Source organism: Homo sapiens, chromosome 6, assembly GCF_000001405.40.
Source record: "Homo sapiens chromosome 6, GRCh38.p14 Primary Assembly".
Classification (NCBI taxonomy): Eukaryota; Metazoa; Chordata; class Mammalia; order Primates; family Hominidae; genus Homo; species Homo sapiens.
Window position 1 is genome coordinate 168,320,041 of NC_000006.12, and position 19,155 is coordinate 168,339,195.

Genomic DNA, 19,155 nt, shown 5'->3' on the forward strand with positions numbered 1-19,155 from the left:
AACTATTGGGACATTATCACATTGCAAGGACCGTGTTACCATTACAGACGCAGTAGAGATTTCAAAACCGTGTTACCCACGTTTCCCAATGGGTATCTGCAGTTTGGAAACCGCACCTCGCTTTTTTTTTTTTTTTTTTTTTTTTTTTTTTTTTTTTGAGACAGTGTCTCGCTCTGTCGCCCAGGCTGGAGTGCAGTGGCGCGATCTCCTCTCACTGCAACCTCTGCCTCCCGGGTTCAAGCGATTCTCCTGCCTCAGCCTCCCGAGTAGCTGGGACTACAGGCGCCTACCACCATACCTGGCTAATTTTTGTATTTTTAGTACAGATGGGGTTTCACCATGTTGGCCAGGCTGCTCAGCTTGCTTTTTAAATTTTTAAAATAATTGCTTAAGATGCAGTTCACATACCATAAAACTCACCTAATTTAAGGTGTACAGTTCGTTTTTAGTATATTAACGAAGTTGTGTTCACCACCCCCAAAAGAAACCCTGTTCTCATCGGTAGCTACCCCCATTCCCTCTCCTGCACCCCCACACATAGAACCACCACCCCGCAGGTTCTGGAAGTTCATGGAAATGGGGTCACACGCCAGGAGGTCTCTGTGGGGGCTCCTTTTGGTGAGCGTTTTCAAGGTGCGTCTGTGCTGCAGATTGCGTCAGAACTGTATTCCTTTGTGTGGCTGAATAATACTCCACTGCATGGCTGTGCCAAGTTTTGTTTATCCATTCATCTGCTGATGACATGTGAGTTGTTCCATTTTTTAGCTATTACGAATAACGCTGCAAGGACATTCCTGTATGAGTTTTTGTGTGGCAATATGTTTTCATTATACCTAAGAGAGGAATGGCTGGATCGTAGGTGACTACCGTGCTTAATCTTGTGAGGAGCTGCCAGGCTGCTTTCCAAGTGGAATCACAGCAGCCAGCGGGGTATGAGGGTTCCATTTCCTCAGTGTGCACACCAACCGCTGTCTTTAGTCCAGCAGATGTGAAGTGGTATCTCCCTGTGGTTTTGATTTGTGTTTCCCCGATGGCTAAGGACGTTGAGCATCTTTCCATGTGCTTGTTGTATACTTCCTTTGGAGAACTGTCTATTCAGATCCTTGGCCCATTTTAAAATTTAGGTTGTCTTTTCGTTATTGAGATGTGAGTATTCATTATACAATTCCCTTATCAGACATGATTTGCACTTCCCTTATGAAATACATGATTGACAAATAATTTTTCCATGTTGTGAGTTTTTTTCATGTTCTTGATAGTGTCCTTTGCAGCAAAAAATGTTTGTAATTTTGGTGAATTCCAGTGTATCTACTTTGTTGTTGTTCCTTATGCTTTGGGTGATCTAACAGAGCATTGTCTAATCCAAAGACAAAGTTTACAGCTATGATTTCTAAGATTTTGCTGTAGACTTAGCACTTACATTTAAGCCTTTGTTCTATTTTGCATTAATTTCTGTATATGGTGTGAGGTAGGGGCCCCTTCTTTTACATACCCAGTTGTCCTAGTACCATTTGTTGAAAAAACAATTCTTTCCCTGTTGAATTGTCTTGGGACCCTTGTTGAAAATCAGTTGATCCAGAAATCAGTTTCTGGTTTCTCAGTTCTGTTGCGTTGCAATATATGTCTATTCTTATGCCAGTACCACACTGTTTCAATCATTGTAGCCTTGTAATAAGTTTTGAAGTCAGGAAATGTGAGTCCTCCAATTTTTTCTTTTCCAAGATTGTTTTGGCTGATCTGTGTCTTTTGATTCTTTTTTCTTCTTCTTCTTCTTCTTCTTCTTCTTCTTCTTCTTCCTCTTCCTCTTCCTCTTCCTCTTCCTCTCCTTCTCCTTCTCCTTCTCCTTCTCCTTCTCCTTCTCCTTCTCCTTCTCCTTCTCCTTCTCCTTCTTCTTCTTCTTCTTCTTCTTCTTCCTCCTCCTTTTTGAGACAGGGCCTTACTCTGTTGCCCAGGCTGGAGTGCAGTGGTGCGATCTTGGCTCACTGCAACCTCCATCTCCTGGGCTCAAGCAATTCTCCTGCCTCAGCCTCCCAAGTAGCTGTGATTACAGGTACATGCCACCACGCCTGGCTAATTTTTGTATTTTTAGTAGAGATGGGGCTTGGCCATGTTGGCCAGGCTGGTCTCTAACTCCTGACCTCAGGTGATCCGCCTGCCTGGCCTCCCAAATTACAGGTGTGAGCTGCTACTCCTGGCCCGTGTCTTTTGATTTCTATATGAATTTTAGTATCAGCTTGTCAATTTCAGCAAAGAAGTCATCTGGGATTTGGATGGGAATTGCAACTAAATTTGTTTACCTATTGCAGGTATTGCTACCTTAAGATTAAATCTTCTGAACCATAAACATAGGATGTCTTTCCACTTATTTAGGTCTTCATTAATTTCTTTCGACAGTGCTTTGTAGTTTTCAGCATAGAAGTCTTGTACTTGCTTAATTTATTTCTAAGTATTTTATTATTTTTGACACAATTGTACATGGAATTGTTTTCTAGTTTTATTTTCAGAACATTCATTGTTAGTGTATAAAAATTAAATATTGATTGGAAGGCCAGGCATAGTGGCACACACCTGTAATCCCAGCACTTTGGGAGGCAGAGGCACGTGGATCATTTGAGCTGAGGCATTCCAGAGCAGCCTGGGTAACATGGCAAAACCCTGCCTCTACCAAAAATACAAAAATAGCCAGGGTATGGTGGCATGCACCTGTAGTTTCAGCTACTCAGGAGGGAGGCTGAGGCTAGAGGATCCATTGAACCCAGGAGGTCATGGTTACAGTGAGCTGTGTTTGCACCACTGAACTCCAGCCAGACAACAGAGTGAGACCCTGTCTCAAAAAGAAAAAAAAAGATTCTTGTATATTGATTCCTACAACTCTGCTGAACTTGTTTATTAGTTCTAATAGTTGTGTGTGTGTGTGGGTGTGTGTGTGTGCATGTGAATTTATTTGTACTTTCTACCTAGAAGCTCATGTCATCTGGAAATAGAGACAGTTTTACTGCTTTCTTTCCAGGATGGGTACCTTTTACTTCTTTTACCTGCCAAGTTGTTCTGGCTACAACATCTAACACCATGTTGAACAGAAAGGGCCAAAGAAAACATTCAGTCTTTCCTGTTAAGTATGACGTCAGCTGTGGGTTTGTCTTAGATGCCTTTTAAAGATAGAGAGAGATGAAGATAGTGACAGAGAGAGAGACAGACTGGAGGTGAGCCCTTTATCAGTTATGTCTTCTCCCTGTATGTGAGCTCTCTGAATCGTGTCCTTTGGTAAACAGAAGGTCTTAATTTTTACATAGTCTTATTTATTATTAATCTTTTTGTGCCCTTTTGAAGAAATGTTTACTCACCCAGGTTATTGAAGACATTACCTAATGCTGTCTTCTAGAAACCTTATCATTTTGCCTTTCTTATCTAGATCTATAATCCACCCAGAATGGCTTTTCATGTGCTGTATTTGGAGGAGGTGTCACAATTTACTTGTTTTTAAGCACATATTCCAGTGCAATATTTATTGAAAAATCTTGTCCTTTTTGAACTCTTGCATGTTGCCGCCACCTTTGTCCTGAGTAAAATATCTGTGTGTTTTCCGGAATGTTCTGGGTCTTAGTCTCCATGTGGCTAGTGCATCTGTCTGTTCTTGCACTTGTCATAATTGTTTTGTCTTTAAAAGAAATGCTGATATTTTGTAGAGCAAGTTCTCCCACCATATTTTTCAAGGGTGTCTTGAATATCTTTGGTACTTTGCTATATTACATAAAATTTAGAATCAGCAAGGAAATAAATACCAGAAGTCTACTGTATTTTGATAAGACTCCATTGACTCTGTAGTCCATCCGGGGAGAAATTACATCTTTACAATCTTGAACATTCTATTACTAATCCACAGACAAGGAATACCCCTTTATTTATAAAAGTTTTCTTCTTTTTCTTAATACTTTTAGGTTCAGGATACATAGGCAGATTTGTTGTATAGGTGAATTGCATGCCACAGGGATTTGGCATACAGATTATTTTGTCACCCGGGTAATAAGCATAGCACTGGATATATAGTTTTTCCTTCCTCACCCTTCTCCCACCCTCTACTCTCAAATCGGCCTTGGGGCCTGTTGTCTTCTTTATGTGCGCGTGTATCTGATGTTTAGCTCTCACTTGTAAGTGAGAACATGTGGTATTTGGTTTTCTGTTCCTGTATGAGTTCACTTAGGATAATGGCCTCCAGCTCTGTCCATGTTGCTGCAAAGGACATGATCTAGTTCTTTTTTATGTCTGCGTAGTGTTTCATGGTATGTATGTACATAGACGTTTCTTTTAATATCTCTAATTATTATTTTATAATTTTCTGTATAGAAAGATGTGGCAGTCTTGTAGAACTCTCATTAGATTTGTCCCTACTTTCTTCTCCTTCTCCTTCTCCTTCTTCTTCTTTTCTGATGCTATTGTTACCAGAAAAGCAGTCTTGATTCAGACCCCAAGAGAGAGTTCTTGGATCCCATGCAGGAAGGAATTCAAGGTGAGTGGCAGAGTGCAGTGAAAGAAGCAAGTTTCTTAGATACTACTCCATTGCAGAGTTTGAGTTTGATGTCCTCATACAGCAAGTGGAGGAATTCACCTCTTCATTTTAAGTTTTTCTGATATAGGGTCTTGCTATGTAAAGTCTATGCTAAGCTGTGACTATATGTGGGTGGGCTGACAGCAGGACAGAATTATTCTGTTGATTTAAAGAAAACTATTCTTGACATTTCAGTATGTAAGTACGTCGGAGCATTACTATAATTATCTTGAAGGCATATGTTGTTACAGGTATTGGGACACCTGGACTTTCTGTTGTGGTAGGAGTTTGTCTTGCAGGCATGACCGAGCTGTTTCCTTAGCTGTAAACATCTTAGGACCGTGAGGCAGGATGGCAGTTGGTTTTAAAATGGCGTTACACTGGCTCTCCTGGGCTCCTGATTCCCTAATGCTATTGCCAGTTACCTTTTAAAAATTCATTTTATTTTGGTTGATGATAGATAAAAATACCAACAAAGAATCTAACAACTTTGCTAAACTCATTTTTTCATTTGAATCATTTATCTAGAGATTCTTTGGGATTTTTTTCCATATACATTCATATCATCTGAGATTAATGGCAGTTTTATGTCTTTATTTCTGACCCTTAAATCTTTTATTCATTTTTCTTGCTTTATTTTAGTGGCTAGCGCCCCAAAGAGAATGTTGAATGGTGATGCTATCATGCTTCCTTTTCCATGTGTCACTTTCAAGGACAGTGGGAAGCTTTTCAATATTTCATCACTGAGACGATGGTGTGTGTGCTTTGAAGATGCCCTTTATGAGATTAATAAAATAATCATCTGTTCCTAGAATGATGTTGAATTTTATCAAAGGTATTTTCTAAGATATTGAGGGAATTAAAATATTTTTCTCCTTTTTTCCCTATTTATTTCATAAATTATGCTGATTGATTTGCAAATATAAAGCCAACCCTGCATTTCTGGAATAAATCAACCTGGTTATGACATATTGTCCCACTTATATATTGCTAGATTTAGTTGGGTAGTATTTGGTTTTAAAGTTTTGCATCTATATTCCCAAGGAGATTAGCTCATAATTCTCCTTTCTTGTCTTTTTCAAGTTTTCGGAATCAATAGTATGCTGACCTCATAGAGTGAAAGCATTCCCTCTTTTGATAGTCTATGCGAAGATGTGTGTAAGCCCCATGCCGTTTTATTCTTAAATATTTGGCAGAATTTGTTAATGAAGCCATCTCTACCTGGGATTTTTGTGTGTGAAAATTTTAATTTTGAATACAAGCTTTTAAATAGTTGTTTGATTATTCAGACTTTTTATTTTTTCATGTCAGTTTGTTGCAGATGTATTATTCCATAGGGTTTTCTTCCTTTTGTCCATGTTTTCAAGTGTGCTGGCGTCATGACCTGAGCTAGTATCTTCAGATGTCTTGTAATCTGCCGTGATACCTCCTCACATTTTTTCTATCATTGGTTATTTGTGCTCTCTCTACATTTTGGCAACGGTTTCACAGTTTTATCAGTTTCTCAGAGAAAGAGCTATTGGCTTTGGTGGTCCTCTCTGTTGGTGTCTGCTTTCTAACTCATCCACGCGTGCTGTTTTCCTTCTCAACTTCCTTCTGCCTATTTTCTGTGGGCGTGCTTCACTGGATTATTTCCTCTAATGTCTTAAAATGAGTTTTTGGCTTGCTGGCTTCTCTCTCCCTTATCGGCATAGCTCAGCCCTCATTGGTGGTCGTCAGGAGCTTGTTACTGGGTAAATATTGGGTCCTCTGTATCTTAGATTGTGTCATAGCATTGACTTGGAGGAGAACCGTGGGACCACTGCCTGCATGAACTGTGTCTCCTTCAGAGCTGTCTGGGGTAAAGGATGTAACTAGCTCTGTTAGCGTAGCCTCCAGAGGAAAGGCACTGATGCAATCTCAGTTTGAGTCCTAGAATGTGAGCTTGGTCAGGAATTCCAGTGATTGCATAGTCCTTTGTTCTGCCGTTGTCCCCTGTTCAGAAGGTCACAGGCAAAAAAACAGGTCTGGAAAAGTTAGACTTGGTTTATTTGTCTCAATCGTACTCTCCCCTTTTGTCATATAAATTTATGTTGATTGTAGGATGTGCTGGATTTTTTGCACTCTCTCTCCTTTTCTCTCTCTCTCTCACACACACAAGATGACATGCACTATCACAGGTGCCTCTGAGAAAGAGTTTGGGCTCAGGGAACATTTTTGAGGCCTCCACAAGGAGGACTAAGGGTCTTCACACTGATTTGTAGGAAGGTCCCACCTCACTTCCAGATTGTGGCAATTTTACAATTTTACCAGCTTTCCGACTCCTTCACCCCACCTCCTGTTTCACTGGTCCTACCATTTACTTACCATAAACTTGGAATCTTTGCCCATTTTATCAGAGCTTTGTTTTTCTCTCCCTACAACGATAAAGAATCCCTCTTGGTGAAGGGAGGTCGGATTTTTCCTCTTCACGACTTCAACTGATTGGATGAGGGCCTCCCACATCAGGGAGGACAATTTGCTTTACTCAGAGTCCACCGATGTAAATGTTAATCTTATCTGAAAACGCCCTCACAGAAACATCCGGAATAACATTGGACCAAATGCCTGTGGCTCAGCAGGCATTAGGTTGACACATAAAATTAATCATCACACTCAGCATTTGGTAAACTTCAACATGAAAGGAGCTTTGTTCTTTGACTCTAGAAAAATTCTTCTCTATTTCTTTGATAATTTCTCCTTTTTATTTATCTCTTCTGTCTCCTTATTGCAACATTTTAATTCTCGTTTGGACTTCCATGATTAAGCCTTTCTGATTTTATTTTTTCTGTCATATTTCCTATCTTACTTTTTGTTTTTGAATATTTTGTTCAATTTTGGCTTCCAGCACTTCTATTATTTTATTGATCATATTTTTAATTTTTAATAGGTCTTTGTTAGCCTCTGGGTCACGTTCATATTTTACAATTTTTTATTTTCTGGATGCAATCGCTTCTTGAATCTCTCTCTGAATACTAATTTTGTTTGTATTTTCTAAATTACCCATGTTGTGTGATGTCTGCTTTTCTGTTTCTCTACCTTTGACTTTCTTTTCAAGGCTCACATAGTTAGGCGTGCGTCTCCTTCTCATGTCCCTCTTAAACTCCACAGAGGTGACAGCAAGTCCAGCTCTGAGGGACAGGCCTTCTCCCCTCCTTTTCTTTGATCATCATCAGAGGTTCCTAAAGTACACAATTTAGTCAATTACTACGTATCGCATAACCGTTACAGTTATAATTTGGAATACTACATAGCAATGAAGAAAATGTTTATAAGATGCCAAGTGCCAGGAAGAAGAAACCGCATGTAAAATTGTAACTACATTATGACTATAAGTACATGTAAAGCGTGCATGCCTGTCAGCAGGGTCCATTTAGAGGCATAAGAGAATTGAAACATTTTTTTTTGTAAGTTTACTGTGGCTGTGGGTCACTTTCTCTATTGAGTTAAGTTACTTTCTTGTTGATCAATTTACTTGTGCAGTAAGCCAACATTAATACACACACGATTTATCAAATTAGAAAACTTCCTTCTCCCCAATCAGATTGGCAGAGATCAAAAAGAATAACCATAATAATAACACTCATTGCTAGGGAGGAAATGTACCCTCTTGCAACAGACTGCTAGTGGGACTGCAAATCAGGAGAAAATTCCTAGAGGGCAATTCCGCAGAACGGTCAAAAGCCTTAAAATGAACATGCTCCATGATTCACTTCTAGCAATGTATTCTAAAGAACCAATCAGCGGAACATTCTAAGATGACTCTATAAGGCTGCTTATTTGAACACTCTTTATAACTGCAAAATTTGGAAGCAATCTATGTAAGTACTTGGTTGAATAAATCATGATATATATGTAGAATAAATGAGATTATTAAAACTGGTGCTCCAGAGAGTGATTTTTGGTCTTTAACCACTGTTTATAAGGATACAACGTCATTAAATAAATAAATAAATAAACATTACTGTTGGTTAAATATTAGCCATTAAACACCTGATATGTTTAGGCTTTGTGGCCCCACCCAAACCTCATCTTGACTTGTAATCCCCAGGTGTTGGTGGGAGGTGATTGGATCATGGGGTTTCCCCCATGCTGTTTTCATGATAGTGAGTGGGTTCTCACAAGAGCTGATGGTTTTATAAGTGGCTGGAAGTTCCTTCATTAACTCTTCTCTCCCCTGCCACCTTGTGAAGAAAGGGCTGCTTCCCCTTCCATCATGATCGTAAGTTTCCTGAGGCCTCCCCAGCCATGTGGAACTGTGAGTCAATTAAATCTCTTTTGTTTATAAATTACCCAGTCTTGGGTAGTATCTTTATAGCAGTGTAAAAACAGACTAATACCACATCAATAGCAAACTTCTTGAAAATACCGAGCTCCAACTAAGCAGTGTGCTATGGACTGGAATCGTCCAATGACCTCTCAGCCCTGGGTCACCAGGAGCCCTTGTTCTGCCTGCTCCACTGCAGGGATCCCCAACAGGCCCTCCTGCTCCTGTGCTTTCCCCAACATGGCCTGTTTTGAACACAACAGTGGGTGTCAGACCTTGTCACTTCTCTGCTCAAAACCCTGGCATGGCCCCCAGCTTCACGCAGAGAAAAGCTGTAGGTTATGATGGCCCTTGAGACCCTCTTCCTTCGGACCCCTTCTCCTCCCCTTGTCTCATCTCACTCCCTGCATCTGCTGTTTCTCAGATGCCCGAGACCTTTGCACATGCTGTGCCCTCTTCTGGGAGGGCTCCCGTCCACCCTGCAGCCTTCTGAGCCCTCCCTCCATGCTGTGCCCTCTCACCTCCATGCTGTGCCCTCTCACCTCCATAATGTGCCCTCTTCCGGGAGGGCTCCCATCCACCCTGCAGCTTCCTGAGCCCTCCCTCCATGCTGTGCCCTCTCACCTCCATGCTGTGCCCTCTTCTGGGAGGGCTCCCATCCACTCTGTGCCTCCTGAGCCCTCCCTCCATGCGGTACCCTCTCACCTCCATGCTGTGCCCTATCACCTCCATGCTGTGCCCTCTTCTGGGAGAGCTCCTGTCCACCCTGCAGCCTCCTGAGCCCTCCCTCCATGCTGTGCTCTCTCACTTCCATGCTGTGCCCTCTTCTGGGAGGGCTCCCGTCCACCCTGCAGCCTCCTGAGCCCTCCCTCCATGCTGTGCCCTCTCAGCTCCATGCTGTGCCCTCTTCTGGGAGGGTTCCCGTCCACTCTGCAGCCTCCTGAGCCCTCACCTGCACTGTTGTTTTCACAGCACATTATCTCCTCGCATACTTCATAGTTTGCCTTTTTAAAATGATGATTACTCCTTGTTTGTCCTTCCCCACTAGACTGTAAGAGTGGTGCGATTAGAGACCTTTAGTTTTTTTACTGGTGTATTTTAGACACTTAGAACAATATACCTGGTTTGAGGTAGCTGTCTAGTAATACTTGCTGCATAAAGACATGGTAATTGGTTCGTCATTGAGCTCAAAGAACAATTAAAAACTGCACCGTGGTCTTTTAAATCATCTCCTGTGTTGCATAATTTTTTAAATATTATGAAGTGTTTTTATTACAAAATAATATACAATATGCAATAGATATTAAGGAAAATTTGATGTCTTCTCTCCGTCGTCCTTGAGTCAAGTCTTCCTTACATATTTTATTGTGTAGTCTTTCACAAATCTATCTCTCTCTCTATCTACCTATTATCTATCACTTCTGTACTCACACTATACACTCATACTGTACATATAACTCTATAGTTTCATCTTTTAATAAAAAATAAACATTTTAATAAAAAATCATAAACTTTTAATAAAAAGTTTCCTTACGTGATATACTTCAATCATTTTTCTACTGATGAACATTCAGTTGCTGGTTTTCTCCCACTATGTATAGCAATGCTACCAAGCACATACGTATCGCCTTAGTGCCGTCGGTTTTATTGCCATAGGCTGTATTCTCTAAGATGGGATTCCTGATGTCAGTGGGCATGTGTAGTTTTATTTTATTATTGTGCAATTATTTCTTATTGTTGCCATAACAAGCAATGTGTTATAGGGCTAACTCCACACCCAATATGTTGCTGACACCAATGTCATCATTTTACAACTTTTTTCCCCTGGATTTGAGTCGTAAATAAATGGCATCTCAGTATTTATTCAGCATGCGGTGCCGTGACTTGCAGTGAGTTTGAGCACCTTTCCGTGTGTACGTCAGCAAGCTCTGTGTCTTTCACTGGGAATCGTGTACACATATCATTTTTTTCACTGTTTAAATCTTATTAATTTGTGCGATCTTGTTATAGATGCAGGTTACTGCCAGTTTCCTGCCATGTGTGTTACACATATTTTCCCCCAATCTATCTTTTTCCACAGCTTTGTGGTAACTTTGACTTATCAGCATGTAATTCTTTTCCTTTTTTTAATGTGTTTCATAACTCCTGTGCCATTGTAAAGTTTTCTCCCATTTCAACATGAAGGCAATACTTTGGTACATTTTATTCTGATATTACACACATTCTAATATTAAATGTATATCTCTCATTCACCCAGAATTTCTTTTTGCATGTGGTATGATGTAGGAGTCTAGCATCTTTCCCATGTGGTTGATTATTCTGGCACCGTGGCACTGGCTAAATGGACTCCCCATCCCTGCTGCTTTGACCTGCTCTCAATATTGCACAACGCTTGCATGCCTGGCACTGTCCTTGGATTCTGCAGCCTCTGCTGCTGACCCGTTTCATCTCTCCTCACACTGATCACTCACTCTGGCATCTCAGGATGGCATTCACTAAAGTACACGGATATTGTTGACATGGAAAATTGTTCATAATTTTTTTTAGGACAAAAGACCAGATTAGAAAACATTGGCTTAATTAAAAATTGTGCATGTGTGTGCATGTGTGTGTGTGTGCATGTGGTGTACGTGGGTATTTTGTGCATAGAAAGGTGTGAAACATTACACATTTACAACGTTAATACTAGTTACATATGGGTAAATCATTAAAGCATTAAATGTGTCGTTAAATCAAAAGTTTAACAATTAGTGACTCTCCTTGAAGTATAAAATAAAGCCACCAACTTCATCTAGTCTTCAGGCCTCACATCTGTGAGTAGTCAAGAGAAATTTTAAAGTGGGAGAAATTATAGGTACTCCTCATCTAAAACTCGATAAACACTATAGCAGCTTATTTAGTTTTATTAAAGGAAATGGCTGTTAATAAAGTTACAGCAAATATATGTGACTTCTCTGCATGACGAAGCAACCATATGAAGTTCATAATTATATGACTGCTAAAGGCACATTGGGATTATGCTGGTAGGTGCTGCCTAAGTTCATCAGTCAGCAGATGACTTTCCTTTATGTATAAAAGAATCTCATAAAATATTATCAGAAGCTCATAATTTCCCCCCTGTAGACTTCGTGGTAGGACTTTGGCATGTCTACGGCTCAGGTGGTGGCGGTTACTTCGTGGTAAGACTTCGGCGTGTCTATGGCTCAGGTGGTGGTGGTTACTGTCATTTGGCTCCATCTTCGTTTGGTTCCCGGGCATGGAGTTCTGTTGCATGCAGCTGTTGGTTGAGAACAATGGGAGTTGCCTCCCTGTAGGGCGAGGAGAAGCTGCTAATGGATTGTGTAATTCACAGCTCCACGTGATTCCAACTACCTGCTTAAGAAGGGGAATGAGAGCTCTGCCTTAAGGCGGTGACATGTAAATGGTACAAGCTGTGAAACATACTCAGAGATGGAGCCCCCGTGCACCTCTGCCAGCAGGACGCTCAACACACACGCTTCTCCATGGGCTGCTTGTGGCTGGTGACATTTCAATTGTCTGATGTGCCCCACATTTGATATAATAGAGATGTTAAATATAATGGATGTTTTACTTTGTTTTGCAAAACTAAAAGGATGATTTACTAAGTCTGAAGTCATGTTTAAACCATTACTTTTGTATGAGTTTCCCAAGGCATCTTAATGTTTATGAGGTGACTGATGAATTTTACATAGTTTAGTTTTTCAGTATAAACTGTAGATTTAAAGATTTGGGAGTAAAACTTGCCATCATCCTGTCTCTAGAGAGCAGCAAAAAGATGGGACATTTGCACAAGAAGTTCCACTGAACTTCAAAGAAATTTCCCCCAAGAAAGGAGGGGGTCACTCCCGTGGATTAGTATTAAGATTGAACTTTTTTGACATGTGTTATATATTTGTACACCTTCTCTGGTATTATCTGTTTAAATATTTATCAAAAATTTACTCGAGATATTTATTATTGGTATGTAAGAGCTCTGTATTAAAGTTACGGGAGAGGATGTCAAAAATAACATGAAATAGAGGAAATCTGTGGCCACTCAATGCAAGGGGTAGAGCTCAGTAATGTGTGAGGTCACTAGCAATAGAAAATTAGCACCAAAATCTTGTTCATTGTGAGGACCCTAAGTGATTGAGAGGAAATTAAAATACAGAAGGAATAATTTCTTTACATGTGAATTATGTATTTTAGAAGGAAGCTTATTGAAGTTCATGGAGATAAAAACGAGCGTTGATGCTTAGGCCAGGGAAGGCAGTGCCTTCCAGTGGTCTGAGCAGCTACAGGAGAGACACAGACCACAGGTTCACTTGCAGATGCACACACACCCCACAGGGGGCAGCAAGTCCGGAAAGTAGCACACGCTGTTTCCACCATTTTTATTTTATATAAACTGCAATACCATTAACAAGCAGACACTCAGTTATGACTACAAAGTAAAGATACACCTTAATCTTTGAGAAATAATAAACTTTGGGGGAATATATGTAATTGTATAAGTGTAACTGTTAAATAATTTTGTATCGGATTAAATGAATATTTATTCTACTGTTGGCGTATACCTGGTGTTATTAGTGCATTCTCGCATTGCTATCAAGAAATACCTGAGGCCGGGTAATTTTTAAGGAAAAGAGGTTTAGTTTATAAGGAAAAGAAGAGGTTTCCTCCACAGGCTATGCAGGAGGCATGGTGGCGTCTGCTTCCGGGGAGGCTTTAGGGAGCTTTCATTCATGGTGGAAGGCAAAGCCAGAGCAGGACCTAGAGATAGAGGCAGGAAGTGCCGCGCCCTTTAAACAGCCAGATCTCCTGAGAACTCCCTCAAGAGAACAGCATGGAGGGGAGGGCGCTAAGGAATTCATGGAAGATCCACCCCCCTGATCCAGCTCCTCCCACCAGCCCCACCTCCAACACTGGGGGTTACACTTGAATGTGAGATTTGGGCGGAGACACAGACCCACACCATATCGCCTAGCATGGGAGTTTGGTGATTATTCTCGTGTATACTTTAGATCATATAATTAAAAGAAGCAGTTATGTTAACTCTCTCTACCTCTGAACTAAGTAATTCAGGAATATTTATGGTGTATAGTCCTCATACCTTAGTTCCAACCACCACCGTTCTTAGGCGCGCATCCTCGCTGTGGTCTGTGGGGTGGGCCTGCGCAGGTGGCTCCCACTGAATGGGAGGGGGACGCTCACTGTTCCTCATCGTCTGTAACTGTTCTGTGGCCTTACATGGCTTCTGCATTCCGCTTGCAAAAAACCCTGCTGACTGACTGAAGAAATAAGATGATTTAGAGGTTAGGAGACCTTTCTACAATTACACAACAAGATTAATGATAATTGCTATGGAACTGCTCCAAGCAATGCTTATCTCTTAGGGCAAAGGTAGAGAATAAAGCAAAGGACCATACCTTTAGACATAAAGCCCAGAGTGTATTGCAGACTTGCACACAGTTTCCCTGCCCAGAGTGTATTGCAGACGAGCACACAGGTTCCCTGCCCAGAGTGTATTGCAGACGAGCACACAGGTTCCCTGCCTAGACTGCATTGCAGATGAGCACACAGGTTCCCTGCCCAGAGTGCATTGCAGACTTGCACACAGGTTCCCTGCCCAGAGTGCATTGCAGACTTGCACACAGGTTCCCTGCCCAGAGTGCATTGCAGACTTGCACACAGGTTCCCTGCCCAGAGTGCATTGCAGACTTGCACACAGGTTCCCTACCCAGAGTGCATTGCAGAATTGCACACAGGTTCCCTGCCCAGAGTGCATTGCAGACTTGCACACAGGTTCCCTACCCAGAGTGCATTGCAGACTAGCACACAGGTTCCCTGCCCAGAGTGCATTGCAGATGAGCACACAGGTTCCCTGCCCAGAGTGCATTGCAGACTAGCACACAGGTTCCCTACCCAGAGTGCATTGCAGACTTGCACACAGGTTCCCTACCCAGAGTGCATTGCAGACTTGCACACAGGTTCCCTACCCAGAGTGCATTGCAGATGAGCACACAGGTTCCCTGCCCAGAGTGCATTGCAGACGAGCACACAGGTTCCCTTGAGTGAAATTTGGTATGAAGACGCGTCCAATTGCTTTGAAAAGGTGAGATTGCAATCTGCAAATTATCTGGAAAAAAAAATATAAAATGAAAAGAAAGACTTCAAAAGAGGACTTGTGGGTCTTTTTATGTTTGTTTTTTACTTATTCTATGGGGCAAACTATTCAAACGAGCATGGATGACATTGATTTTCTTAGGATCTTTCTGTAATTTAGTTCTTGACCTGATAGCAAAGGAGGACTGAGAGCGTTTTCACCTCTTCATTTGCCCCAGCTGTGAGTCCCCAAATGTCCAAAGTATGGCCTTGACAGAGAACTCACAAGCACAAACAAAACAGGCAAACAAACAGAAAACAGCAGGTTGATGTTGTACACGGACCCAACCCATCTGATTATTACCATTTGCTAGGCTCTGTTCAGGATATGTCAGTTCCAAGAATAACAAGAGGGAGGGGAAGGGTATCGCGTCTTTCCACAACCTGCTTTTACCAGGCTGCAGACAGAATTCTGACACGTGGAGACACCCGTTAGCAAGTAGGCACAGACCTGTCACCCACATGTTTCTGGTGCATTCCTTCCTGTCACCGCCCCCACCACCTCCTAACATGTCCTGCCATGCAGTATTGTAGGTTAGTTGGCCTCTTGGTGAGTTTTCTATAAATGACACCATGCTGTCTTTTGTATCTAGCTTCTTTTGTTCAATATTATGTTTGAGCCACACCCATGGTATGCCACGTAGCAACAGTTCATTCATTTTGTGTGTGTGTGTGACGGAGTCTCACTCTGTCACCCAGGCTGGAGTGCAGTGGCAAGATCTCGGCTCACAGCAACCTCCACCTCCCGGGTTCAAGCGATTCTCCTGCCTCAGCTTCCTGAGTAGCTGGATTACAGGCGGGTGCCACCACGCCCGGCTCACTTTTTGTATTTTTAGTAGAGACAGGGTTTCACTATGTTGGCCAGGCTGGTCTTGAACTCCTGACCTTGTGATCCGCCCGCCTCGGCCTCCCAAAGTGCTGGGATTACAGGGGAGAGCCAGCGCACTTGGCCATTTCCTTCATTTTTACTGCTGCATGTAGTAGCAGCATGTAACTATATCCCTGGGGATATAGTTAAGTTTAGCAGCAGAATGAATAATAATATATCCTCATGAACATAGGTACAGTTTATCCACTCTGCTACTAACACAAGATCCAGTTGTTTCCTCTTTCGGCTGTTGCTGCCCTGACACTTGCACATTTCTTTTAGTTGGATATACACGGAAGTGGAATTGCTGGATCATAGATTATGCATATTTGTGATTTGTTTGCTTTTTCATTTAAGCATATGGTGAAATGGACAAATCATAACGATACAGTCTAATGAGTTTTGACTGTTGTATACACCCGTGTAACTCACACATATATGGAGTCAGGGAAGAGCATTTCTATAGCTCATACATTTTCTTTGGCCCAGTCCCCAAGCATTCACTGTTGGTATTTCTAGCACCCTAAGTTAGCCCTGCCTGTTCCAGAACTTTTGACATTTGTCCATCTTACAGGAATCATCCTTCCCTCCTTTTGAGGGTGATACTGCAACCGCTTTTGTCTGTTGACCAGTGGATGGGCATTTGGGTTATTTCTAGTCTGTGGCTGTTATAGACGAACTCTCCTGATTCTTCTTGTATGAGACGTTTTGTGGACATGTGTTTTCATTTCTCTTGGAAATGGGTAGATATCTTGGGGTGGAGTGGCTAGGTCATAGGGTAGACAGATGCTTAATGTTTTAAGAAACTGCCAGTTTTCAGAGTGGCTGTGCATTGCATATCCAACCAGCAGTGTGCAGGAGCCCCTGTCAGTCCACATCCCACTAGCACCTGGTGTTGTCTGTCTGTTTCGTGGTAGCCATTCCAGAAGGTGCATGAAGTTGCATATTCTTTTCGTGCAGCCCAAGGACTCTAAGAGCCAGAGTGTGCAGCTAAGCCTCAGTTTGAACTGGCCTGCTGGTCCTGAGGGTCCAGGCAGAGGCACTGTGGCCCTCTGTGTTCCTTTGCCACCTTGTTTTCCCAGGATGTGAGTGGGGATCTCGTTCCAGTAGCCGCCATCCTTTCCTGCACCAGCACCCCACACACATGCACACTGCTGCATCCTCAGTAATGAGGGTGAGGTGAACCTTGCTTTTTTCTCTGCTTTACCAGTTAAACACAAAGATTATGTGTGACCTCTGGCCACTTAGTTGCTGTCTGTGCATCAGTTTCATTATTTGCACAGTGAGGGTACTAACAGAAGTTATCACCAACAAAAATCGCAGAAATACAGGAGTTCAGACATGAAGCAACTAGAACAATGTTAGATATCTTGCAAGTACTCAGACTGCATTAGCTAGTGCTAGTCATGTGCATGCTTCTTACTGAAGAAAACGGAAAGCATGTAGCATTTCAGTTAAGTTTCATTTGCATTTAAGTTTCACACCTACATTCAGCATTCTGTCCACACAGATCAAAGATGCTGAAGATAACAGAAAATTTCCAGCATATGCTGGAAGGAATGGGGAGCTAAGAGAAAAAACAAGATTCACAAATACTAACCAGTTTAGCTAGAACTATGATATAAAAGAGGATATCCAAATATGTAGTAATTCAGTACACAATAAAATAATAACATTATCTTAGTGAATTATAGTTAAGAAAAAAATATAAATCATATAAGAATATTTTAGGAAATACAGATTTTAGGTTTCATTGGGGAAATATGATTGTTTTCCTTTTTAAATTATATTGTGCACATATGTGGTTGTGTTTGATATTTTAAAGTTTTTAAAAACATTTTAATAGATTTTGTAATTACAACCATTGGAGAGTGTAAATAGAAATGTGTGTAAAATATTTTCTGATGTGAAGAAAGCATGTCAGAGTCATGCTTTTTTTTTTTTTTTTGGAGGATAGGGGAAAGGAAAACAAGAATGTAGAAGAAAGGCATAGGTTTTACAGGTAAACATGGTCTAAAAGTTATCCATGTAAAACCTAAATCCATTTCAGTGTTATAATCAGAATCTGCCCAATGTGTAGTAAAATTCCACCTAATAATAATATATATTTCACAATTGCTAAAAGAGTAGATTTTAAATCTTCTTACCACAAAAACAGTACGTATGTGAGGTGGTGAATATGTTAATTAGCTTGATTTAATTATCCCACCATGTAAACATGTATTAACACACCACATTGTACATGGCTATATGCAATTTTATGTGATCTGCCAATTAAACAAAAGTTGAATGGAAAATAAAATCCAAATTAATTTTACAGAGTGTGTTTCAGTATTAGACACGTGTTTTACATTAGACTGAACCATGTGAAGTTGCTGTTTTTTTTTTTTAATTTAACAAGGTTGAATAGGCCAGGCATGGTAGGTCACCATGCCTATGACATGGTGGGTCAAAGTGCTGTAATCCCAGCACTTTGAGAGGCCGAGGCAGGCGGATCACCTGAGGTTAGGAGTTCAAGACCAGCCTGTCCAACATGGTGAAACTCCATCTCTACTAAAAATACAAAAATTATCCAGGTGCGGTGATGGGCACCTGTAATCTCAACTACTCGGGAGCCTGAGGCAGGAGAATCGCTTGAGCCAGGGAGGCAGAGGTTGCAGTGAGCCGAGATTGTGCCATTGCACTCCAGCCTGGGCAACAGAGTGAGATGTGAGACTCTGTGTCAAAAAAAAAAAAAGTTGAATATTGACCATTTCATGTAATTTAATTGTATGTTGGTAAGCTTACACATGAATGCCAACTTTATTAAGTTCCTCATAAAATAAGGAGGGGTATAAATAACTGGGTCAATAATAAATACTTAGTAAATGAAAAAAATGACATTTTCTTAAGCAAAGAGAAGGGGAAATTTAAACAGAATCCACGGAGATTTCAAAGAATGGTTGGCAGAAACCGAGGGTGACCGGGAAGTAAGCAAACAGCCTCCAGAGGAAGAAGTGTTTTGGTATCTTTACCAATATTTACCATCACTGGAAAGATTCCTATTTGCAAAACTCCCCGCAGGAAGGTATTTTCTGGGAGCATCAGCCCGGAACTGGAGTGGGGTGAGTGTTGGGAACCGGGTTTGTCATTGCTCTGTGGTGTGAACAGACAGGATTCCCAGCCCCAGACAGGATTCCCAGCCCAAACCTAAATGTGAACTAGACTCACCTGTTTGTTCATACATTTAATCTATTACAACAAAAAACGTACTGTTTTCTTGCCATTACAAAAGTAATACATGCTTATTAT

The 19,155-nt window shown here is 41.3% G+C and overlaps 1 long non-coding RNA gene across 1 annotated transcript, besides 3 other annotated features; it reads right to left on the reverse strand.

Moving 5' to 3' along the window:
• Positions 2,486-2,654: a silencer, noted in NCBI's record as "fragment chr6:168723206-168723374 (GRCh37/hg19 assembly coordinates)". NCBI's record gives its function as "represses an EF-1alpha promoter that drives an FKBP-Casp9 reporter gene in an ReSE screen in HepG2 liver carcinoma cells {active_cell/tissue: HepG2}" and the evidence as "EXISTENCE:reporter gene assay evidence [ECO:0000049][PMID:32094911]".
• Positions 11,902-12,572: an enhancer, noted in NCBI's record as "OCT4-NANOG hESC enhancer chr6:168732622-168733292 (GRCh37/hg19 assembly coordinates)". NCBI's record gives its function as "activates a minimal SCP1, AML or CMV promoter by ChIP-STARR-seq in naive H9 embryonic stem cells {active_cell/tissue: H9 hESC(naive)}" and the evidence as "EXISTENCE:reporter gene assay evidence [ECO:0000049][PMID:30033119]".
• Positions 12,069-12,363: a silencer, noted in NCBI's record as "tiled region #8937; HepG2 Repressive non-DNase unmatched - State 23:Low". NCBI's record gives its function as "represses a minimal TATA promoter and a strong SV40 promoter by Sharpr-MPRA in HepG2 cells {active_cell/tissue: HepG2}" and the evidence as "EXISTENCE:reporter gene assay evidence [ECO:0000049][PMID:27701403]".
• On the reverse strand, positions 13,211-14,347 carry LOC105378139 (uncharacterized). The gene is made up of 3 exons (XR_943290.4): positions 14,261-14,347; positions 13,945-14,122; positions 13,211-13,604 (listed from the first exon to the last, which is right to left on the reverse strand). It is a non-coding gene; the product is annotated as an uncharacterized LOC105378139 (long non-coding RNA).
• Between the last annotated feature and the right edge of the window lie 4,808 nt (positions 14,348-19,155).